Source organism: Homo sapiens, chromosome 2 (genome assembly GCF_000001405.40).
Source record: "Homo sapiens chromosome 2, GRCh38.p14 Primary Assembly".
Classification (NCBI taxonomy): domain Eukaryota; kingdom Metazoa; phylum Chordata; class Mammalia; order Primates; family Hominidae; genus Homo; species Homo sapiens.
Genome location: NC_000002.12, coordinates 73411304 through 73432046, shown reverse-complemented (window position 1 = coordinate 73432046; position 20743 = coordinate 73411304). Strand labels below are relative to the sequence as shown.

General features: G+C 35.9%; 1 protein-coding gene and 1 pseudogene across 2 annotated transcripts in view; both read right to left on the bottom strand.

Moving 5' to 3' along the window:
- The window catches only part of ALMS1 (ALMS1 centrosome and basal body associated protein), a 224162-nt gene that overhangs the window by 177873 nt on the left and 25546 nt on the right, over positions 1 to 20743 (bottom strand). For both annotated transcript variants that reach the window (NM_015120.4, NM_001378454.1), the window contains 4 exon segments: positions 5494 to 5594; positions 7145 to 7617; positions 9073 to 9190; positions 12729 to 12924. In NM_015120.4, the coding sequence (NP_055935.4) occupies positions 5494 to 5594; positions 7145 to 7617; positions 9073 to 9190; positions 12729 to 12924 (888 nt within the window).
- On the bottom strand, positions 13141 to 13619 carry GNG5P4 (G protein subunit gamma 5 pseudogene 4; annotated as a pseudogene).

Here is a 20743-nt window from a genome sequence, read left to right as displayed (position 1 = left end):
CTAAGAAGTTATACTAGTTACTTAAGATCATAATCTCAAACCTTCTGAATTCATATATAGGTCATATTTTATTGGGTCAACTCTAGAAGACTAAATCATCCTGAGGGCTTAGAAATCTGTCTAGATAAAATATTATAGATAGTATGCTTAGAAGTGTTCTGTTACTCAGAAGTTTGCTCCTTATGATCATCGCAGAATTTGAACCATGGGATTATTCTGGACAAGCTCAGGTATTTCTTTTTAAGGTAGAGAGGTGCACTGTGGACAAGAAACAGTAAGAAGGAAAAAGAAAACAGGAATATTTTCTAGAAACTCACAAATGTTTAGAAGAAAAATGAGAGTATCAAAGAACTATAACTGTGATCGGTTACCAACAAGCATAAGTCCTCAAACTTCTTAAAACAAAAGTAGTGGAAACTATAAATTGGTAGTGAAGTAAAGGGTAACTGCTCAAAAAGAAGTTCCTAATGTTTCATCAAGTCACAAGTTCTTGCTAGAAAAGAAATTAGAAACCAATATTGGTGACATTAATACCTAAACATGTACAACTTTTCACCAAATTCACAGTGCACCCTCACATAAAAATATATATCATTTTTAGATTGTCTTTATTTCCCTAAAAAGATTATTTCAGTCACATCTTCTCAGGATGAAGTCTAAAAATGTACATAAGCATGAATTTTTCTATCCTCTTTCATCAATTTTTCATTGTGTAGTAATGAACATTCTTAGGAAGCCATGTGAAGTGTGGAAATGAACATTCCATATCTATTTCTATATCTACATCTACTGCCCATACAGGTTTCTCTACTTTTCAACTTGTGAAGATTTTGTACCCATCAAGGGACATTTGACAATGCCTGGAAACATTTTTTGCTGTCATAACTTGTGAGGGGAGGGGATGTTACTAGTATCTAGTGAATAGAGGCCAGGGATGGATGATGCAAAACATCCTACAATACTCAGGAAACACGCCTCCCACCATAACAAAGAATTATCCAACTCAAAATGATAAGGCTGCTAAGAAGCCCTGCTCTCCACATAGCACAAAGTTCATAGTTTTCAATTACCTCACTCCTACAGGAAACTTCTCTGAAGTACAGGCTATATATATACACATATATACATACACATAAATATATATAAATATATATGCATATATATAATATGCAGTCATAGATCACTTAATGATGTGGGTATGTTCTGAGAAATGTGCTGTCAGGCAATTTTGTTGTTGTGCAAACATCACAGAGTGACTTACACAAACCTACAACTGTGTAGCCTACTACACACCTAGGCTATATGGTCTAGCCTACTGCTTCCAGGATACAAACCTATCAGCATGTTACTGTTCTAAATATTGTAGGCAACTGTAACACAGTGGCATTTGTGTATCTAAACATAGGAAAGGTACAGTAAAAATACAGTATTTTAATCTTATGGGACTACCATCATATATGCAGTCTGTCACTAACTGAAATATCATTATGTGGCATGACCATATATAATATATAGACACTTGTGAGAGACAGTGTGTGTTTATAGTTTACAGCAGTTTTTCTTCTACAGCTTTCAAACACAGAAAGAAAAATTTTTATTACAAGCTTGACGTCAAAAAAATTTCATTATGTTAAAGTTTCAAAATATAGAACTATTAAAGTAGGTAATACCGGCCAGGCACGTTGGTTCACGCCTGTAATCCCAGCACTCTGGGAGGCCGAGGCGGGCGGATCACGAAGTCAGGAGATCGAGACCATCCTGGCTAACACGGTGAAACCCCGTCTCTACTAAAAATACAAAAAATTAGCCGGGCATGGGGGCGGGCACCTGTAGTCCAAGCTACTCAGGAGGCTGAGGCAGGAGAATGGTGTGAACCCGGGAGGCGGAGCTTGCAGTGAGCTGAGACCGCACCACTGCATTCCAGCCTGGGCAACAGTGGGAGACTCTGTCTCAAAAAAAAAAAAAAAAAGTAGGTAATACAAAAGAAAATGTAAAATGAAAAATATGAGAAGTATTTATTTAAGAAACCAGCAGATCTTCATTGCTAATTGAAAATGGAAAGAACCAGGAGAAAACAGAAATCAAGATTCGTTTATCTTCCCAATGTTTAATCAATAATGAAGAAAGAATGAAAGATGACCAAGAAACCAGAAAAATACTAATACCTTTCATAAAAACTCAGGAACTCTACAAGTCAGTCTAATTTTAGGAAAAACATGAGTTATTTTGCTATAGAGCAAGTTGAATTTGGGGTGATGACAATGTTCACAAGAAAACATGCAAAATAAATTAGACAAATATTAGGGTATAAAAACAGAGGTGATAATCATCCACACAGAGACAGGCAACTAGGTCTCCAAAGGTGGGGGGATATGAAGGGGAGAGAAAAGAAATCTAAGGCTTAAACCTTAAATAATTTTTAGAGCTAAATGGCCAAAACAAGAGGTACTAAAATAGCATATTAGGCCAGGCACGGTGGCTCACGCCTGTAACCCCAGCACTTTGGGAGGCTGAGGCAGGTGGATCACCTGAGGTCAGGAATTCGAGACTAGCCTGTCCAACATGGTGAAACCCCGTCTCTACTAAAAAGACAAAAAATTAGCCAGGCATAGTGGCAGGCACCTGTAATCCCAGCTACTTGGGACGCTGCAGCAGGACAACTGCTTAAACCCAGGAGATGGAGGTTGCAGTGAGCTGAGATTGTGCCATTGCACTCCAGCCTGGATGACAAGAGCAAAACTCTGCCTCAAAAAAAAAAAAAAAAAAAAGCATATTAATTATGTGCTGCTACCAAGAAAAAGGAGAAAGAAAAACAAAATAATGATAGAAAGTAGGAAACCACCAGAGACTCTAGTAGTCTAGTTTCAGCAAAGTGAAGAGAACTAACAACCAGGCACTATATAAATGCTACATAACTTACCCCATTTAATAGTACGATGTATAAGGTTATTACTATTCCTATTTCCTTATGCAGATCAGGAAAGTGATCCTCCGAAGTCATTTGCTCAAGACACAAGGCTAACAAAGTAACTGAACTGGATTTTGACTCAAAATCTCTATGTTCTTTTCACAGTTCCAAGCTCCATCATACATACGTGGATACCCAAATAATCATTTATGAGGAGTAGATATAAAAGTGAACCAAGTAACTATGAATGACTCTTCTGTGACACAGATGAGGAGCATAAGGAAAAACCAAGGAGTAAGCAAGCCCCTGAAAGCAAGCTAAGCCATGCAGAAAAAGTACTACCACATCTGGCTCCTTGCTTTTCTGATATTGACATTAAATAACTCCTAGATCTAAGACTAAGACAGATAGAGCTACAACTGAAAGACAATACAGGGAATAATAGCATCTTCCTTAGATTGAAAGAATAATACTTCAGGCTATATTTAAGGACAGATTAAAATTTGGAGCAGTGGTCAAAGCTAGTCTCTGCACATTAACTGAACCTATATATCTTTATTTTTAAAATACATTTTATCTACATGAAAGGTTGATGTAAGTCACAAAAGTAGTATTAAAAATTTAGAACACTTTAAAAGTTGTTACTTTGTTTCTCATTGTTATTGAACTCAACTTTAGGCAATCTCCTTCAAAACCTCTACTCTTGCCAAAATAATGCAAAATCTTAACCTTAGTTTCACCAAGAATAGTTAAAAGGTGGGGGGAGGGGGAACAGTTTATGGTATGGTGGTTAAGTACACAGATATGGTTAGTTTCAAATACTGGTTCCCCCAATTGCTGAATAATTATGAGCAAGTTCCTAAATCCTCTAAGTGTCAATTGCAAAATAGGGATGATAATAATCTCTAACAATTCTATTTGATAGGATTGACAGAGGACAAAAACGAATTGATATATACATGTAACCTCTTAGCACAGTACTTGAGCACAAAGTGTTAACTATCATTTTCATCCCCAGTTATCAGATTAAAATTAAAAAATGCCTAGTTTGGAATACTGAAGAAAATAAACCTAGTGATTCTGTGTTAAAAAAACTTTAATAAATGTAATAAATTATAAATAAAAGTTCATCATAATATCTTTGTTCATTTTCTACCAACAATCTGAACCTAAAGGTCTAAATGTGGTTGTAACCCAAACTAATAGAGCTTTACAAAAACATACCAATCTTATACATAGGAAAAGAGAAGTAACATTAAGTACATCACTATTTTATCTAACTGTATTTAATGAATAACAGGATATAAGGCTATATCACAAGGAAGTAGGGCCCACCTTGGGACTTACAGTACCAGACAACAAAAGAGGATATTCATTCAACGGGACCAGAGGAACATTAATGCCAAGGGATCCAAGGATCCAAGCAAATAAAAGCCTTCTATAAAAGAATGACACAGGGAGGGGAACATCACACACCAGGGCCCGTCGCGGGGTAGGGGGTTAGGGGAGGGATAGCATTAGGAGAAATACCTAATGTAGATGACAGGTTGATAGGTGCAGCAAACCACCATGACACCTGTATACCTATGTAACAAACCTGCACGTTCTGCACATGTGCCCCAGAACTTAATTTAAAAAAAAAAGGCTGATATAAAATTTTTATGACATCCTAGAGTTGCCAGTTTCTAGTACACACACACACAATGGTAATAATGATATAAATAGAGAGAGGGAAGAGACATGTATATACATTAGTATGTTGCTCATTTGGGAAGGAGATACTTCCCTTTGAAGAGACACTGGCCAGTTTGGACGTTAAGCACTTCATTATCCTTCCTGGTCAAACATGGGTCTTACAATTTTCAAGACACCTCTGAAGTCAAGTCTTTCAAGAGCTTCTAAACAGAAATACTTAAATATTCCAGGGACTGTTTCAAGGCTTGTGCATTGAAGACCAGAGGGAAACATTCAAAGTACAAGCTTTTGGATGTTCCCATGAATAAGCCTAATCTTAACACTGTCTAAAGACTCTTGCTGGCACAACTAGGAAGAGTTAGGCTGCCTCAATATGAAAGGCCTGGAGCCCCATGGGATGCCTTTTCCAAGACACCACAGAACTAAGTCTTACAGTCTATGAAACATAAACATTTCTTTTATACCAACCTCTAATGGAACATATTCCTGGATATCAGATGAAGAACAGGTACAAGTTACAAGCTGGTACTGAAGGATATAATTTTTCAAATAAAGTATTTTCAAATAAAATTTGGAAATTTTTCAAATAAAACATTCCCTCCCCGCCCAGAAAAAAATGTCAAATAGAAAAACTTACAGGCTTTTCAAAATTGCTTTCCTTCTCAGATGGTAGTTGTAAAGTAGGCTGCCAGTGCAGGGAGCTGTCATGCATCTCTAGATCACCATGAAATTTCTCTAAAGCTGCTAGCTCAATGTACTCACCAGTCAAATGACATTGGTCATGTACCCAGGAAACAGTAAAAAGTAAAATAAAAACAAACAATACCATTTCCTGAAACAATACTGAAAAAGGCCACGTTTCTTACAACTATCATTTTATTGTGTCTCACCTTTCTTTGTAGTTCAGCAACTCTTTCACTGCATACAACAGCATTTTCATTTAGGCCATCCAGAGTAATGACGTCAGACTCAACCTTCCCCTGCAGGCCCTCTACAAAATAGGAGTCATTTTGCATAATTGTATGTATAGTAAAACTAGGCTCAGCTCCCACACACGAAGGACTTTCACCTTGGCCTATATCAGCTTTCAGCAATGTCTCTTGGGCGACTGCAATTAATGATGCATCACTGGTCAATGGTACAAGCACCTTGTGACTTTGCATCACATGCCACCAAGTTTGCTGAAAAGCTGCTTCCTACAGCTGCAGGTGGACCTTTAATGGCATTTCTACAGTTAACATCCTTACCCAAATTAAAGTTTGAGTAATCTGCAACTTCTTCAAAGGTTGGCTGCTTTAAATCTTGTAAAACCAAAGATTCTGAAGTTAATACTTTCACATGATAAATAACATCTGAAGATCCTACCTTCTCTGCAAGGTCAAGAGAAGGAACAGACTTTATCTTCCCAAAGGGAAGAAATGGTTCATTGCCTATATCACACTGAAATAAAGCTGACTGTGTTTTGCCAAGACCAACAGCCTGGTTGTAAGATTTTTCACTCAAAGAAGCAGATGACTTAAGCTCTGGAATAACACAAAGTGGCTTAATGAACATTTTCTGAAGAGCATTAGGGGGTAATTTTAAATTTGGATGCCAGTATAGGAAGCTATCATTATTACCCTTTTTATGCAACAATGGTTTTGAAGCTGCTGGTTCAAACACCCCAGGAGTAGACTGATAGCATGGATGTTTAAGCCTATCAAATAAAGAGGTTTCATCATTATAATTTAATGGAGAAAGATCTGGATTTTTTGGCTCTCTCTCGGCTGTCATCTGTTAAATATTTATTGATGTCAGCTTGGATTTCATTTACTGTACTCTCTTTCTTAGAAGGCTCAATAGAGGCAATAACTGCCTCAAAGGCTATATTTTCAGCAGCATCAATATTTTTCTCACCAAAAAGAGAAGTTCCCTTTTGGTTTCTTTCCTCTTGAAAATACAGTTGTTCTGATATCTCATCCAAGTTGGATATAACAATCCAACCAGAAGCCTCCATTTTAGAGGTATTATGTCCCCTGGAGAGTACATGTGCTTCTGAAACTTTTACAGAATTATCAGGAGCTATAACATTCCTAATATACTGTATTTCTAAGAATCTGGGTTGCACTTCTGAAGATACTAAATTATTTCTAGTCTCCGTTAGTTCAAAACATTGAGATGATTCTTTCTGTAAACCTTCTTCATTTCTTTCATAACCCTCCAAAGAATCCATCTTTTGTTTCACCTCAATCTCAGCTGGAGCCCTTAAATAAACATTCTCAAAATAATGACTATCAGAAGTCAAGGGAACCCCTTTTCCTCTTCTTTCCAACAAACAACACAAGAAAGAATATGACATTTTATGATGATGATGATGAGCAGCAACTTCACATGGAAAGGAAAAACAGTCCTTACTGATTACACACGTTTCTGGGTGGTGCAAAGTTCCCTCTTTGTTCCATGGCACATAGGAAAAGGGGACACTAAAATTGTTACTTCCCTTGGGAATTTTATTTTTATCAATTGTGTCAGATGAATCTGAAAAAGAATCAGGGTACTTACTGGTTAAATATGTTTCTGCCTGCTTAGATGAATCTTCCTGTGTCCAATACTGCCCATATGAACGAGCAGCATCAAAATGGTCACTTCTTTTAGTAGCTATGTTTTCATCAGTTATGTCAAATGAAGTTGCAACTGAAACTTGATCTTTATCAGCTAAATTGTTTTCAGGCCACTGTGTATCTTTTCGTGTCTTCCATGACATATATGAACAAAGATCATCATAACGATCACAGTCTTTGGGAATTTTCAGTTCATCAACAGACGAAATAGTCTCTTCATTATTCCCTTGTTCAGAAGGTAAAAAAGGGCACTGAGACCCAACAGCTGTGCTGCCTATAAGCGGGTGCTGAGATACACTAAAGCGACTGCTTGCTAAGTCTGAAGCTACTTCTGCAGTAGCCTGGAATAAAGCTTCACTAACTTCCGATGGTCGAGAAGACCATTCAGTATCTTCAGACTTATCAGGAATTCCCCTGAAAATATATAGTTAAAAATAAATAAATAAATAACATTAAAAACATTTAATTTTTAAGTACTAACACAAAAATACATATGTCACTGAAATCAAGTTTATTTGAAAAGTGTATTGAAAAACACAGCTCTCCTAATTTCAGACTCTTCTAAGATGGCTAATGACTGAGTAAAGCAAATTCTTTTTAACTAAAAGGTGAACTACCACCCTATAACCCTGATATTATCTCAGACTTCTCCTAAAACAATAGACACAGAATGTGATTTTCATAATGACGCCTACCATGATTTTTCATTTAACCTGCGTTAACTTTTTTACTAGTCATCATTTATTGTGCTCTTGAAACCATGCAAGGCCAGGCACAGTGGCTCACACCTATGATCCCAGCACTCTGGGAGGCTGAGGCAGGAGGATCACCTAAAGCCAGGAGTTCAAGACAAGCCTTGGCAATACGGCAAGACCCTATCTCTACAGAAAAATTAAAAATTGGCTGGGCATGGTGGCACATGCCTGTAGTACTAGCTGCTGTGGAGGCTAAGGCAGGAGGATTGCTTGAGCCCAGAAGTTAGAGGTCACAGTGAGCCATGATGGCACCACTGCACTCCAGCCTGGGCAACAGAGCAAGACTCCATCTAAAGAAAAAAAAAAGCAAACAAACAAAAAGAGAAAGAGAAAGAAACCACTTAAGAAGTGATCTATTCCCAAAACACAACAGTAACTTAATCATTAGTTGATGATCTAATGTGTATAGATCACTTTTCATAAAAGTGATATCAGGTAAATATATAGTATAAGGACAGAGGTTACTTTTTACTTTCTAAACATCTATAGTTTTTAATTTAAGGTGGGTTTTCAATTCTAAAAGAAGAAAACATATTCTTGAATAATTCCAAATATGTTTTGAAAATTCCAGACTTTTCTCCCATTATGACTATTCTAAAGGACATGAATTTGGAGTATCTGTTCATTTGGATATGTCTGTTCATAAAAATCTTCTTACTTCATATTGACACCTCCTATAAGGTAAGGAGAGCTAACTAGTCTCATTCAATAACAGCTGAACAAAATGAGAGTGCCAAACAAGTTAGTGAACAAGAAATAAATGCTTTTTGCAGAATAAGGGTGAGAGGGAGGAGAGAGATGATGGGCAGCAGATGGGGAGGTTTATAAGAAGGAAAATCCAGTGTGTCTTCTAAATTAAAATATGCCTGAAATGCCTGAATATATTAGGAATTATTTTTAAATAAACTACTGTCATCTGGTTCATCTCTACACATACGTTACTCTGCCAAATTAATATGCATCAAGTCTTAGTACAGGACTTTGTTACCTTCAGGGCGTGTCCTAAGAGTATCTAAGCCCCACCTCAAAGTCCCACCTTAGCCTGAAGTCACTAATATTAGTAAAAACATAGAACAAGAAGTGAGAAAGGTTACATGCAAATAAATCATCCTACCTCAGAGGTGCAAAACTTAGTTCACTTTGATGAAATAAAGAATCAGGCGCAAATTCTTGGTCTTGTGTCAAACAGGTCAGCAAAGGCAAATCAGGAGAAGCAAAGCTATCTTGTATGACTGTAAAGTTTCAAATATTAAATGCTGGGTAATGCTGAAAATTGATTATTTACTTACGTATATAATACTTTAAAGCACCTACATATGCTGCCATATGGAGAATTCTACAAGCATTAGAATAATAATATAAAAGCAACAGCAGTAGCAGCTACCATTTATTGAGAGTCTGACAAGGTCCAGGTGCTTAACACACAATATTTCATTTAATCCTCATGACAACCTTGAAAGATAGGTATTATTATATATATCTTATAGGTGAGGAAACATGATTACAAAACTTACAAAGCATTAAGTAACTTGTCCACATTCAAGTAGCTGAAATGCCAGAGTGAGATTTGAACCCAAGCATTTCAACTTTTAGCAAACGCTCTTAACTATTATGAGTGTTTCTTCCCATCTTACATAATATAGACTACACCCGTTATGTCAAAGCATAGCACAGGAGCTCCTGGGCCCTAAGACACTCTTAGGGGGTACCTAATGTCAAAATTTTATTCAAAATAATATTAAGATATCATATGCCTTATTCACTCCCATTCTCTCAAAAAGATACAGTGACATTTTCCAGAAGCTACAGAATATATGATACAGCAACAGATTGAATACAGAAACAGACATGAGAGTCTTGATGTTTTCTATTATGTCAGACATTATAGAATTGTTTAAGTAAAACATGGCCATACTTCTAAACATTTTTGTATTGGAAAAGTTATTTTTTATAAAATATGTACTTTTTCAATGAATTAATAAATACATTTTAAATGTTTCAGTTTTAATTTCTAATGTGGGAAATATCAATAACCCAAATAAACAAAAGCTCTTTGGAGTTGTCAGTAATTTTTAAAAGTGTAAAAGAATCCTGTTACCCAAAAAGTTTGAACTGCTGCTTTAATGAAAAAAAAATTCTTGTGATTTCCTGAATGTTGACTTAAATCATTCTTATTTTAATCAGTATACTTTCTTGATTTCAGAATGCCTGCAACACTGTGTACAAAGTGAGGACTCCTCTCTCACATTACTGTTCCCCCTGAAATTACTGCAAATCTAGAGTTCACAGAGCTCACCATGTTGTCATCTGTCCTTTACTTAGTCAAAACACATACTGTCACTGCTTATATACCCTGCATACCTTCCATATAATTCATCACCCTCTTGTTTTAATCTTCAGTCTATCCACTTCCCATCTAAATTGTCAACTGTGTCTACTTTATCCATAGCTATATCCTCAGTGCCTAGCAAAGTACCTGCTACACTTAAAAGGTACTCAAAAGAGAGTTATTTATTTACTGAATGAATTAATTAAAAATGAAAAACTGATATGTAACAATAACCTTTGCCACCAAGGAACAATTGGTACAGTTCCTCTTTGGTCTTGGCACAGAGAAGCAGTCTTAAACCTCCGTAACAGTCCTTCACCCCTCTAAAACTCATGAAGAGTTTTTAACAAAGTCCCCAAATACACTAGAGCTGATGCTACAAGGGGGACCTTTGGGCAAGTAAAGCAAATTTACTATTTCCAGTTAACTGCAGGCTGAGTATTTAAAGAATCTGACAGTCTTTTCTCAAAAAAAATTAGAGTTAACCCTAACTAGGTTTCAGAACCTACAGAAATCCTCAGTACCTAAAATAGCTATTTAAGTATAAGTAAGGAATAGTAAGTAACAAGTAAGTTACAAGCAGCATTTCAGCATCTCCTTAAATATTTAAGAATATCTCAGGGTGGAGTTGGACAGTTAAATCACATAAATAGGCAAATGTATTTGCTAAAGGAGCAGGCCAAAGCTGAAGAGTTAATGATTCTCAAGTGTACAACATTATCTGTGTGTGTGTGATGGGAAGGTGGTGTATTTTACTTGCCATGCCTTTTTCTTACAGCTTTCAACTGCTTCTTGTTTCCTCAAGTGTGGATATCTGTTACTGGCTTGCATCCCTCTTTTTTGAGGTATCTAACCATTCTGGCACCAGCCATCATCAATTACATTTGCCATTGGCGAGAGCCTATTTATCACAATGTTAGTACTTATGCGTAACAAAACAGCAATGATAAAATTTCCTCTGCCTATGAGATCCAGGAATCTACTCCAATAATTTAAAATGTTCTGCCCTAACTATAGTAAATGAGAAGCCAGAGTTATAAAACTTTACATTAGAAAACATTTTAGGTCACGAAGTACAATCTCCTCCCCAGTGCTAAAATCCTAATACAGAATTTTGCTAGACATTTTGCAGTGACATGAAGCTCACTTTTTGTTGTTGTTATATAGCCTTTTTTAGTATTAAATGGCTCTATTAGAAAGCTCTTTTTTACATCAATTTGAAAAATAGCTTCCCTTTAAGTTATGTATCCATTTTAAACTCTAGGAGTTAGCAAACCTTTTTTAATAAAGGGTCAGATGGTAAATATTTTCGGTTTTGTTGGTCATACATACTACTGTTGTTTGTTTTTACAATCCTTTAAAAATGCAAAAATCATTCTCAGCAGATGGACAGTACAAAATCAAGACTTGGCCTGTAAGCTATAGTTTGCAGACTCCTGCTCTACACCATTATAATACAAATCCCATGGTACTGTTATTTTCTGTTTACTGGATTGCCTTCCCAGAAGAGGAGGTAGCTTTCATCTATATACCCCTAGCATCAAACACATAGGAGGCACTTAGATATTTGTTACATGAATGAATAAAAAATAAGTTGCTTCCTTTTTAGCATAACAGCCCTTCAAATATTTGACCATAGCAAAGTCTTCTCTTTTGTCTATCAAAAGATAGTCCTCTCCTCCCACAAAGGTACTCTAATTTTGTCAACCTTTCTTAAAATGTGGACCTAAAATTGACTTTAATAATCCACATCATAGAAAACGTTGGCACTAATACCTTGATTTGGATAGCATTAGTTTATGTTGGCAAAGAACTTGCTGAATTAAGTTCTATTCATGCTTCTCTACAAAACTATAAAACCATCTTCATAATTGAATCCCTTAATGATTTTAAAAGTACTTAAAGTTTATCTTTTATAAAGAGCTAATAAATCAGTTCCATACTAAACAGAGGAAAGCAGCAAGATCTACCTCAGACAAGCCACTCAACCTCTTTATCTCAATTTTTGGTTTGAAAGCTAAGGATAATAACATATGCCTTAATTAATTCTAAAAATCAAAAAGGTAAATATGAACATTTGTTTTTTGTTTTTTGTGGGGGATCATGGAGTCTCCATTGCTGAGATAACCAAAGTATACTATTCATCCCAAAAACTCTGCAAATTCAAGACTGAGGAGGCACACACAGTAGACAGTTATCACCTTTCTGCCTTCTGTGAGCAACGGGAAGTGATAAAATGAGAGGCAACTGCACACTTAATATAATTAGATCAGCTAGCCAGTAAAAAACAAACAAACAAACAAAACAGAAATAAGCTAATCCCTCTGAGTAGGTCTCTACAGAGCTCCTTAACTCAAAAAGGGGAAAGTTACAAGACTTGCAGTCCCCGCAAAACTTACAAATGTGAGGTATTACTACTAGTTAAAATAAACAGGCATTACCTAGCAGTGGAGAACAGAAGAGATCTCTGTTGGGTTCCTTTACTTGATTTTCTGATTGCGTCAATATGCCCTCCTCCAGAGAGGGGAAGTCTGTCACTTCAGTATCTTCCGTTCTCACATTAAACCTAGTCTGGGATGTATCCAAGGTTTGGGAAGAGTCCATTTCTTGAGGAAGACAATGCCAAGATTCTGTTTTCTAGAAAAATGTTAAAGGAAAACATGCTAAGTCATTAACTGAGTTACCATACATATTAATATTTAGATGAAAATGTCCACTCATGTATTATATAGCTTCCTATTTAATGACATTCTCATCAAAGTATAGAAAATGTAAAGCTGTTGTTCTCACAATATTAACTACATTTTAGACCTCTTCCCATTACTACACATCTTTTTTTAACACAAAAAAACCTTTTATACTAAGTTGTATTGTACGCCGCTGCCAGTGTATATAAAACAATTACCCTTGTGAAATAGAAATTCATGAAAATTCAGAGAGGTAGATATTAAGGACTGACAAAAGTAGAAGTTTGTATATTATGGCACATGTGTTCCGGGGATAAGCTTTTGTACAGGCTTCAAATGTAGCTCTCTTTTGAATATTCACTGTATCATGAGAAGTGGCTTGGGAAACCTCTGAAAGATTCATTTTACTACAAAAAGGAACAGACTTTCTGGGGTATGAAGGAATTTGTACTTGAAGATACTCCAGTCAGCAGAGAGTCATGTTAAGCAATCTGCAGACAGAATTGTTTCAAGTCTGCAGCTGCCTGGGAAATTTTTACACAGTTGAGCCGGGCCTTCAGCCAAAGCTGTTGAGCCACTTTCTTCGTGGCGGCGATGCTAGAGGGGCCAAACTTGGTGCACGCAAGGGCTGGGCCGATTCATGGGACCTACTGAAGCATTCACTTCAGCTTTAGCTTGGGAATTCACTTGACTGAATTTTTATTAGCTCTACTAGTTTCTAAACGATCCCTGGCTCTTCTCAGTATATATAACATTATCATATCACCCATGAATGTGATACACTTGTCTCCTTCAAATATTTACTCTTAAATTAGTGGCAAGATCCAGAGAACTGCTTCTCAAACTACCTATAGGGAAGAACCAGTTTTTCCTACTTCCAAGTCATCACATACTGACACTTTACTAAAATGCTAACAAAAATTAATGAGAAATAAGCTAATTTTTAAAACCAGTAAAAATAACTAGAAAAATGAAATTAAAAGTCTTACTATAAGCCCAAGATATAAAACACAAGCCCAAATGTTTGATTTCTAGGTCTAAAAAAAGATAAAATTACTCTATCCAACTACTATAAAAGTTTCTAAACACTTCCTCTCAATTTCTATACTTACCTCTTGACAGACCAGTAACAAGCAAATCATGGACTGGCACCAATCTACAGATCACACTAAATAACAATGCTGAATTAAAGTCGTATTAAATACTAATGGTGACAAGTTTAAAAGGTATTTTCCTTTTGAATTTAATATTAGTTAATAATTAAGTATAGTCTATCATGATATGAAAGTATTTTCATTTTCAAATAATTTGATTAGAAATGAACACTAAATTAGCTCAAACTATGTTATAGCATCATTTTCCCCAATTAAACCTGATAAAGGATAGCAATAATTTTTTTTTTTTTAGACAGGTTCTTGCTATGTTGCCCAGGATGGACTCAAACTCTGGGCTAAAGCGCTTAATCCTCCCACCTCAGCCTCCCAAGTCACAAAATTTCTTTATATTGAAACATGTTCACATTTCTTACACAGTAGTGGTAGATCAGACGTTTAAATGTTTGCTAGCATATTCTTTAACATTTTCACACATATATGGTCACAACTAAGATTAATCAGTATTTTAGAATGCCCTCATTTTCTTGTTTCATAACGTTGTTCTGTATTTATTTAAGCAACTTCAATTTTCTTTAAAAATGTAAAAGATTTATCAGCAAATCTATTAGTTCCAAAAATCTTTTTGATAGCTGGTACTAACATAACTTTCTCAATTTCCTCCTCAGTAATCCTAGTCTACCTCTATGAAATACTCATAGTTTTGTAGAAAGTCTATTTCATTGAGATTTTTTTCGCAACTCTATTTACTAGGAATATATCTATTTTTTCTCTATTTCTTGAATTTAACAACTGTATTATATTTTATAACTTGTTTTTCTCTTTACCACGTTTCCTCTATTTGCAGTTTTTCTTTTTTTGTGTGTGTGAGACAGGCTTTTGCTCTGTTAACCAGGCCAGAATACAGTGGCACAATCTCAGCTCACTGCAACCTCTGCCTCCAGGCTCAAGTGATCCTGTCATCCTCAGTATCCTGAGTAGCTGGGACTACTGGCAGGCACTCAGTTAATTTTTTAAAAATTTTTGTAGAGACAGGGGTCTCACTATGTTGCCCAGGCTGGTCTGGACCTCCTAGACTCAAGCGATTCCCCTGTCTTGGCCTCCCAAAGTGCTGGGATTACAAGTTTTTGAGTCTTTATGTAAAATCTTTGGTTAAATAATTCATTCAATTTGCTTTATTTATTTAAATAAAAACATGAGAAAGTGGCATTATATTGACAGCAACTTTAGACATATAATGTATTTTCATTATTTTGTAAGTATTCCACTACTGGACTCTTCTTCCTTGATCAACTCAAATGTTTCTAAGAGAATATAGGTATCTTTTAATTCCCGGGTGGTACAGAATCCATAAAAAGAAGATGTATTACAATTTACAAATATTTTCGCAAACATTTTCCAGCAAGACTTTTGTCTTTGAAGAGACATTTCTAATATTTAAAATTCATTAACAAAATGTTCATATAGTAAGTTTAAGAAAAAAGATACCCACTATCCACTACATAATATCAGTTATACAAATACATGCAAAGAAAAAAATGTGGAGAGAAATATTCTAGAATATTAATGCTACATTTATGGAATAGCAGACTTTTGACATTCCAAAATACCTCAATCCCTTCTACACTGAATAAATTAATCAGATCTATAACATCAAATTGCTACTGGAAACATGCTTTTCACCTTTCTGATACTTGAAAATAAAAGGAATATGAGAATGATTAATTTTACATTTTTTCTTTAGAGGGCACTCCTTTCTATAGGGGACAGGTTAGTGAGCCAACAAAAGGTTTTAAAGCAGAATTCCAATCATCTTGTGACTCACTAAAGCAAAAATCACTGGTCCCGAGTCATCTCTTAGCCTCTCTGACCATGGTTTGAGCCTGTATCCCATAGTTCACTCCTCTCTAATAGTGACAGATGTATCCATTAGTCTTTCTGTCCATCCTCTGACCTCCACAGATCACTTACTCTCTAGTTCCTCTACTGCAATAATTTTTTAACTTCACGGAGACAACTATCCTATCACATTTATACTTTTCTTTATTCCTTTCTTATCTGTATTTCCTTCTTTGCCCCTCTGAGAGTTCAGAGCCATCCTTATAATCACTGCCTTGCAAACACCCTTAACTTTCTTGCGTTTTTCTCCCATTATCCTATTTGCTCAGCAAAAGCTAACACTGATGGAACCGTCTCCTTGCATGAATCCAATCAGCAGCACGTTGCTGGAGAAATCACACTCCCAAACTGACTGGCTTTTCTTTAAATTGATGTCACTAAACCTGAAGGGCACTCAATATTGCCTGGAAATCCTACTACATTTTCCTGGTGAGTTGAGATTTCATACCTTCCCTCCTCAGAACTATTGAACGCTCCTAATTTTCAACTGATGACCTTCAATAATTGTAGAGCAGGAGAGAGGAACTCCCTTGTCTTCAACCACCAGATCTACAATCCCCATTACCAGATTTCTATCTTATGACTTGAAAATAAAAAAAAGTCACTCTGCCTCTCAAAGGCCTTCCTATCTCATTCAAATTTTTTTCAGTGATTTCCTTCCTATGTGATTCTCCCACTTTCCTTCACCCATTTTTCTCTCATTACTGAATCATTCCTCTCCTATGCAAACATATTCTTATAATTTCCCATTATAAACTGAATTTTTAAAACAACCTCTGTTCAACCTTTTTTAACTTTCTGCATTATGTATTTTCTTGATACATTTCAATCATCAAATATTCTTTGTGTTATACCTTTTAAATCAATATAAAAAGGCCAACAAATCTCTAAATATTTTTGACAGATGTGGGGAGGGACAACATATAAGCATTCTGACAAATACAAACAAATTTTGAGGGAGAAAAAAAGTTTGAGATACATCTTTGGGATTTATCAGTATACAGATGTATTTAAAGTCCTGGATCTGGATGAGACCGCGAACATTCCAGCGTTTCAAGCAGAGGTTGAAAACTAAATGTGTATAGGGGTATGGGGGTAAGACAAATGAAGTAATCCAACCTGGAATTGGAGAGTAATGGGATTTGTGGCTAACTATGCATGTTCACTTTAAAGTATTCTATTTCAAAAGTGTTAAAACATTATGCCAAAAAAAATGGTTTTTGAAAACCACATTTGAGTCATACTTGGGTCCACAGCTTACAAATTCTGATTCTAAGGTTTAACAAAGGAAGATAAAGCAGCAAAGGATACTGAGAGAGAACAGCCAGATGAGTAGAAAAAAAACCAGAAGAACCCAAGAAAGGAAATAATTTAAAGAAGTTATGTAATGATTAATAATAGTGTCAAATGCTATTTATCGTACCTAAGAGGAGGACAGAAAAGTATTCACTGTATTCAGCTACATAAATATTGCTGGTGATACTTCCTTTCAAAGAATTGGGGTCAGAACACAAAGTAGATCAAGTAGAAGAATAGGCAGATCCTAGCCAGTGTAATAAAGCAAAAAAAAAACAAAAAAAAAAAAAAACGGAAAAAAAGAAATGACATATCTATTTAAAAGTAAAAAACAAAGCATAGTTAATATAACTCTGCATATAAAGTCCTAAAGGAAATATTTTTTTAAAAAAGCTACTAAAACTAGTAAGTGAGATTAGCAAGGTAATAGGACACAAGGTCAATATAAAAAGTCAATTATATTTCTATACACTTATAATGAATAATAGGAAATAGAAATTTCTAAAAATACCAGTAAGTCTAACAAAACGTGTAAGATTGGCACACTGAAGACAGCAAAACATTGATGAAGACATTAAAGAGAAATAATAAACTAAGAGAACTGTCATGTTTATGGATTAGAAAACTCAATATTGTTAAGATGTCAAAATTATTTTCAAATTGATTTATAGACTCAATGAAATCTTAATAAAAAATTCCAGCAGGCTTTTAAAATATAAATTGGGCGAGCTAATTCTAAAATTTATATAGAAATTCCAAGAATCTGAAATAATCAATTTTTAAAAAGAGGAACAAAGTGGGAAAAATCACACAACCTGATTTTAAGACAGTACAGTTATTAAGAGTGTAATATTGGCATGAGGATACATATGTAAATCAATGGAATAGTGTGCAGAAATAGACCCACATATACAAGGTCAATTAATTTTTTTACAAAGATGTCATGAAATCCACTGGAAAAAAAGATAGCAAATGGTGCTAGAATAACAATTACATATTCATATGTAAGAAAATACAGCTTGGATGCTTCCTTCACACCATATACAAAAACCAACTCAAAATGGATCTTAGACATAAATGTAAAACGTAAAACTACAAAACTTCTGAAAAAGCGGTTCTCAGTTGGGAGAGATTTTGACACGCCTCTCCCTTCAACCATGGAACATTTGGCAATGTCAGAAAGCATTCCGGATGGTTACAAATTGGGGGACTATTACTGGTATCTAGTGGGAAGAGGCCAGGAATGCTGTTAAACATTTTAGGACACACAGGACAGACCCCCACTATGAAGAATTATTCAACCCAAAATGTCAATAGTGCCAAGGCTGAGAAACCCTGGTCTAGAAGAAAACATAGAAGAAAAATCTCAGTGACATAGGATTAGGCCAAGATTTCTCAGATAGTACACAAGAAATATAAACCAAAAAAGGAAAAAAAATCAATAAACAAGTTTCATCAAAATTAAAACTTCTGCCTTTCAAAGACAGGAGAATACAAAAACATGCCACAGACTGTCTCTGCAAAAGAAACAACTGATAAAGGACTTGCATCTAGAGCTATGAAGAACTCCCAAAGCTCAAAAAATGAAACAAACCAGCCACAAAAAATCAGGCAGAGATTTTAACAGATCTCTCACTGAAGAAGAAACATGGAGGGCAAATAAGCACACAAAAAGATGCTATATATCATTAGTCATTAGAGAAATGAATGTTAAAATCACAGTGAGACACCAATAATACATCTCCTAGGGTGTCTAAAATTAAAAAAAAAAAAGAAAAAAAGAAAAAACTGATGATACCAACAGCTGCCAAGAATGCAGGGCAATCAGAACTCTCATATACTACTGGGATACAAAATGGTACAGCCACTTTGGAAAAACAGTTTGGTACTTTCTTATAAAGTTAAACATACAATTACCTTATCACTCAACAAACCCATTCCTAGGGTTTTGTTTTTTGTTTTTTGTTTTTGAGACAGAGTCTCATTCTGTCACCCAGGCCAGAGTGCACTGGCGCCATCCTGACTCACTGCAACCTCTGCCTCCCAGGTTCAAGCGATTCTCCTGCCTCAGCCTCCCGAGTAGCTGGGATTACAGACATGTGCCACCACACCTGGCTAATTTTTATATTTTTAGTAGAGACGGGGTTTCTACTACACCATATTGGCCAGGCTGGTCTCAAACTCCTGACCTCAAGTGATCCACCCACTTCGGCCTCCCAAAGTGCTGGGATTACAGGCGTGAGCCACCACGTCCAGCCATTCCTAGGTATTTGCCAAGAGAAATGAAGCAGTATGTCTACCGAAAAACCTACACACAAATGGAATACTACTCAGTAATAAAAATTAAAGTGGACAAATTATTGATACATGCAACAACATGGATAAATCTCAAAAGCTAAGCCAAGTGAAAGAAGTCAAATTCAAAAGTCTACACACCGTATTATTCTGAAAAGGTAAAACTAAAGAGAAAGAAATTGGATAAGTAGTTGCCAGGGACTAGGAGTTGGGGAAGTGACTGACTACAAAGGGGCACACAGGAACTTTTTGTGACGTTCCTTTTTGTGAAGGCAGTGCTGTCTATCTCAAATGTGGTGGTGACTGCATGACTGTATACGTATGTCAAAGCTCACTTGACAAACTGTACACCTAAGAGAGTAAATTTTGATATGTTTAACCTATACCTACAATAAACCTGACTTTTTAAAAATGAGCATAGGATATCAGGAAACAGAAACAGAAAATGTATAGACAACTCTTGAAAATTTCACTGTAACAGGGAGCAGAATATTGACCGAAGCAGTAGCCGGAAGGGAAGAGAGGACGAGACATTTGTAGTAAAGTAGCTGGTGATGACAAAGTCTAGATAGACTGTGATCATGGGATGAGTAACTACATACAGGTAGGAGAAGACTGGAAGGAGGTACGGAAGTAAAGATCACTGGAGATTAGATGAAATATATGAGAACTTCAGGCACTGAATGGGAAATGTATGCTGAAGTGAAAGAAACCAATAAAAGAGAGGAAGACAATGTAGCAAGAGCTAGTTTTCCATGAATAAATAAAGGTAACTCAGATGACAGTAACAAAGATGAACGACGAAAGAATAAGAAGGAAGTGAACTAGAAAGCGGCATAATATTCCAGCTATTCTGACGAACCCAGGCGTAAAGGATGAAATGAAGTGCTTTAGGGTCCATCATGGTTCGTATTGTGTGAAACAGGAAAAAAAGGAAGACATCAATTTTTGGACTGTGCTCTACCAAAAATATGCCCTCAGAGAATATTATTTAGAAATATGACCCGGTATTAGTTTCCTAGGGCTGCTATAACAAAGTGACACAAACTAAGTGGCTTAAAACAACAGAAATTTATTATCTCGCAGTTCTGGAGGCCAGAAGTCTGAAATCAAGGTGTTGGCAGGGTCATGCTCCCTCTGAAGCCCCTAGGGGAGGGTCCTTCCTTG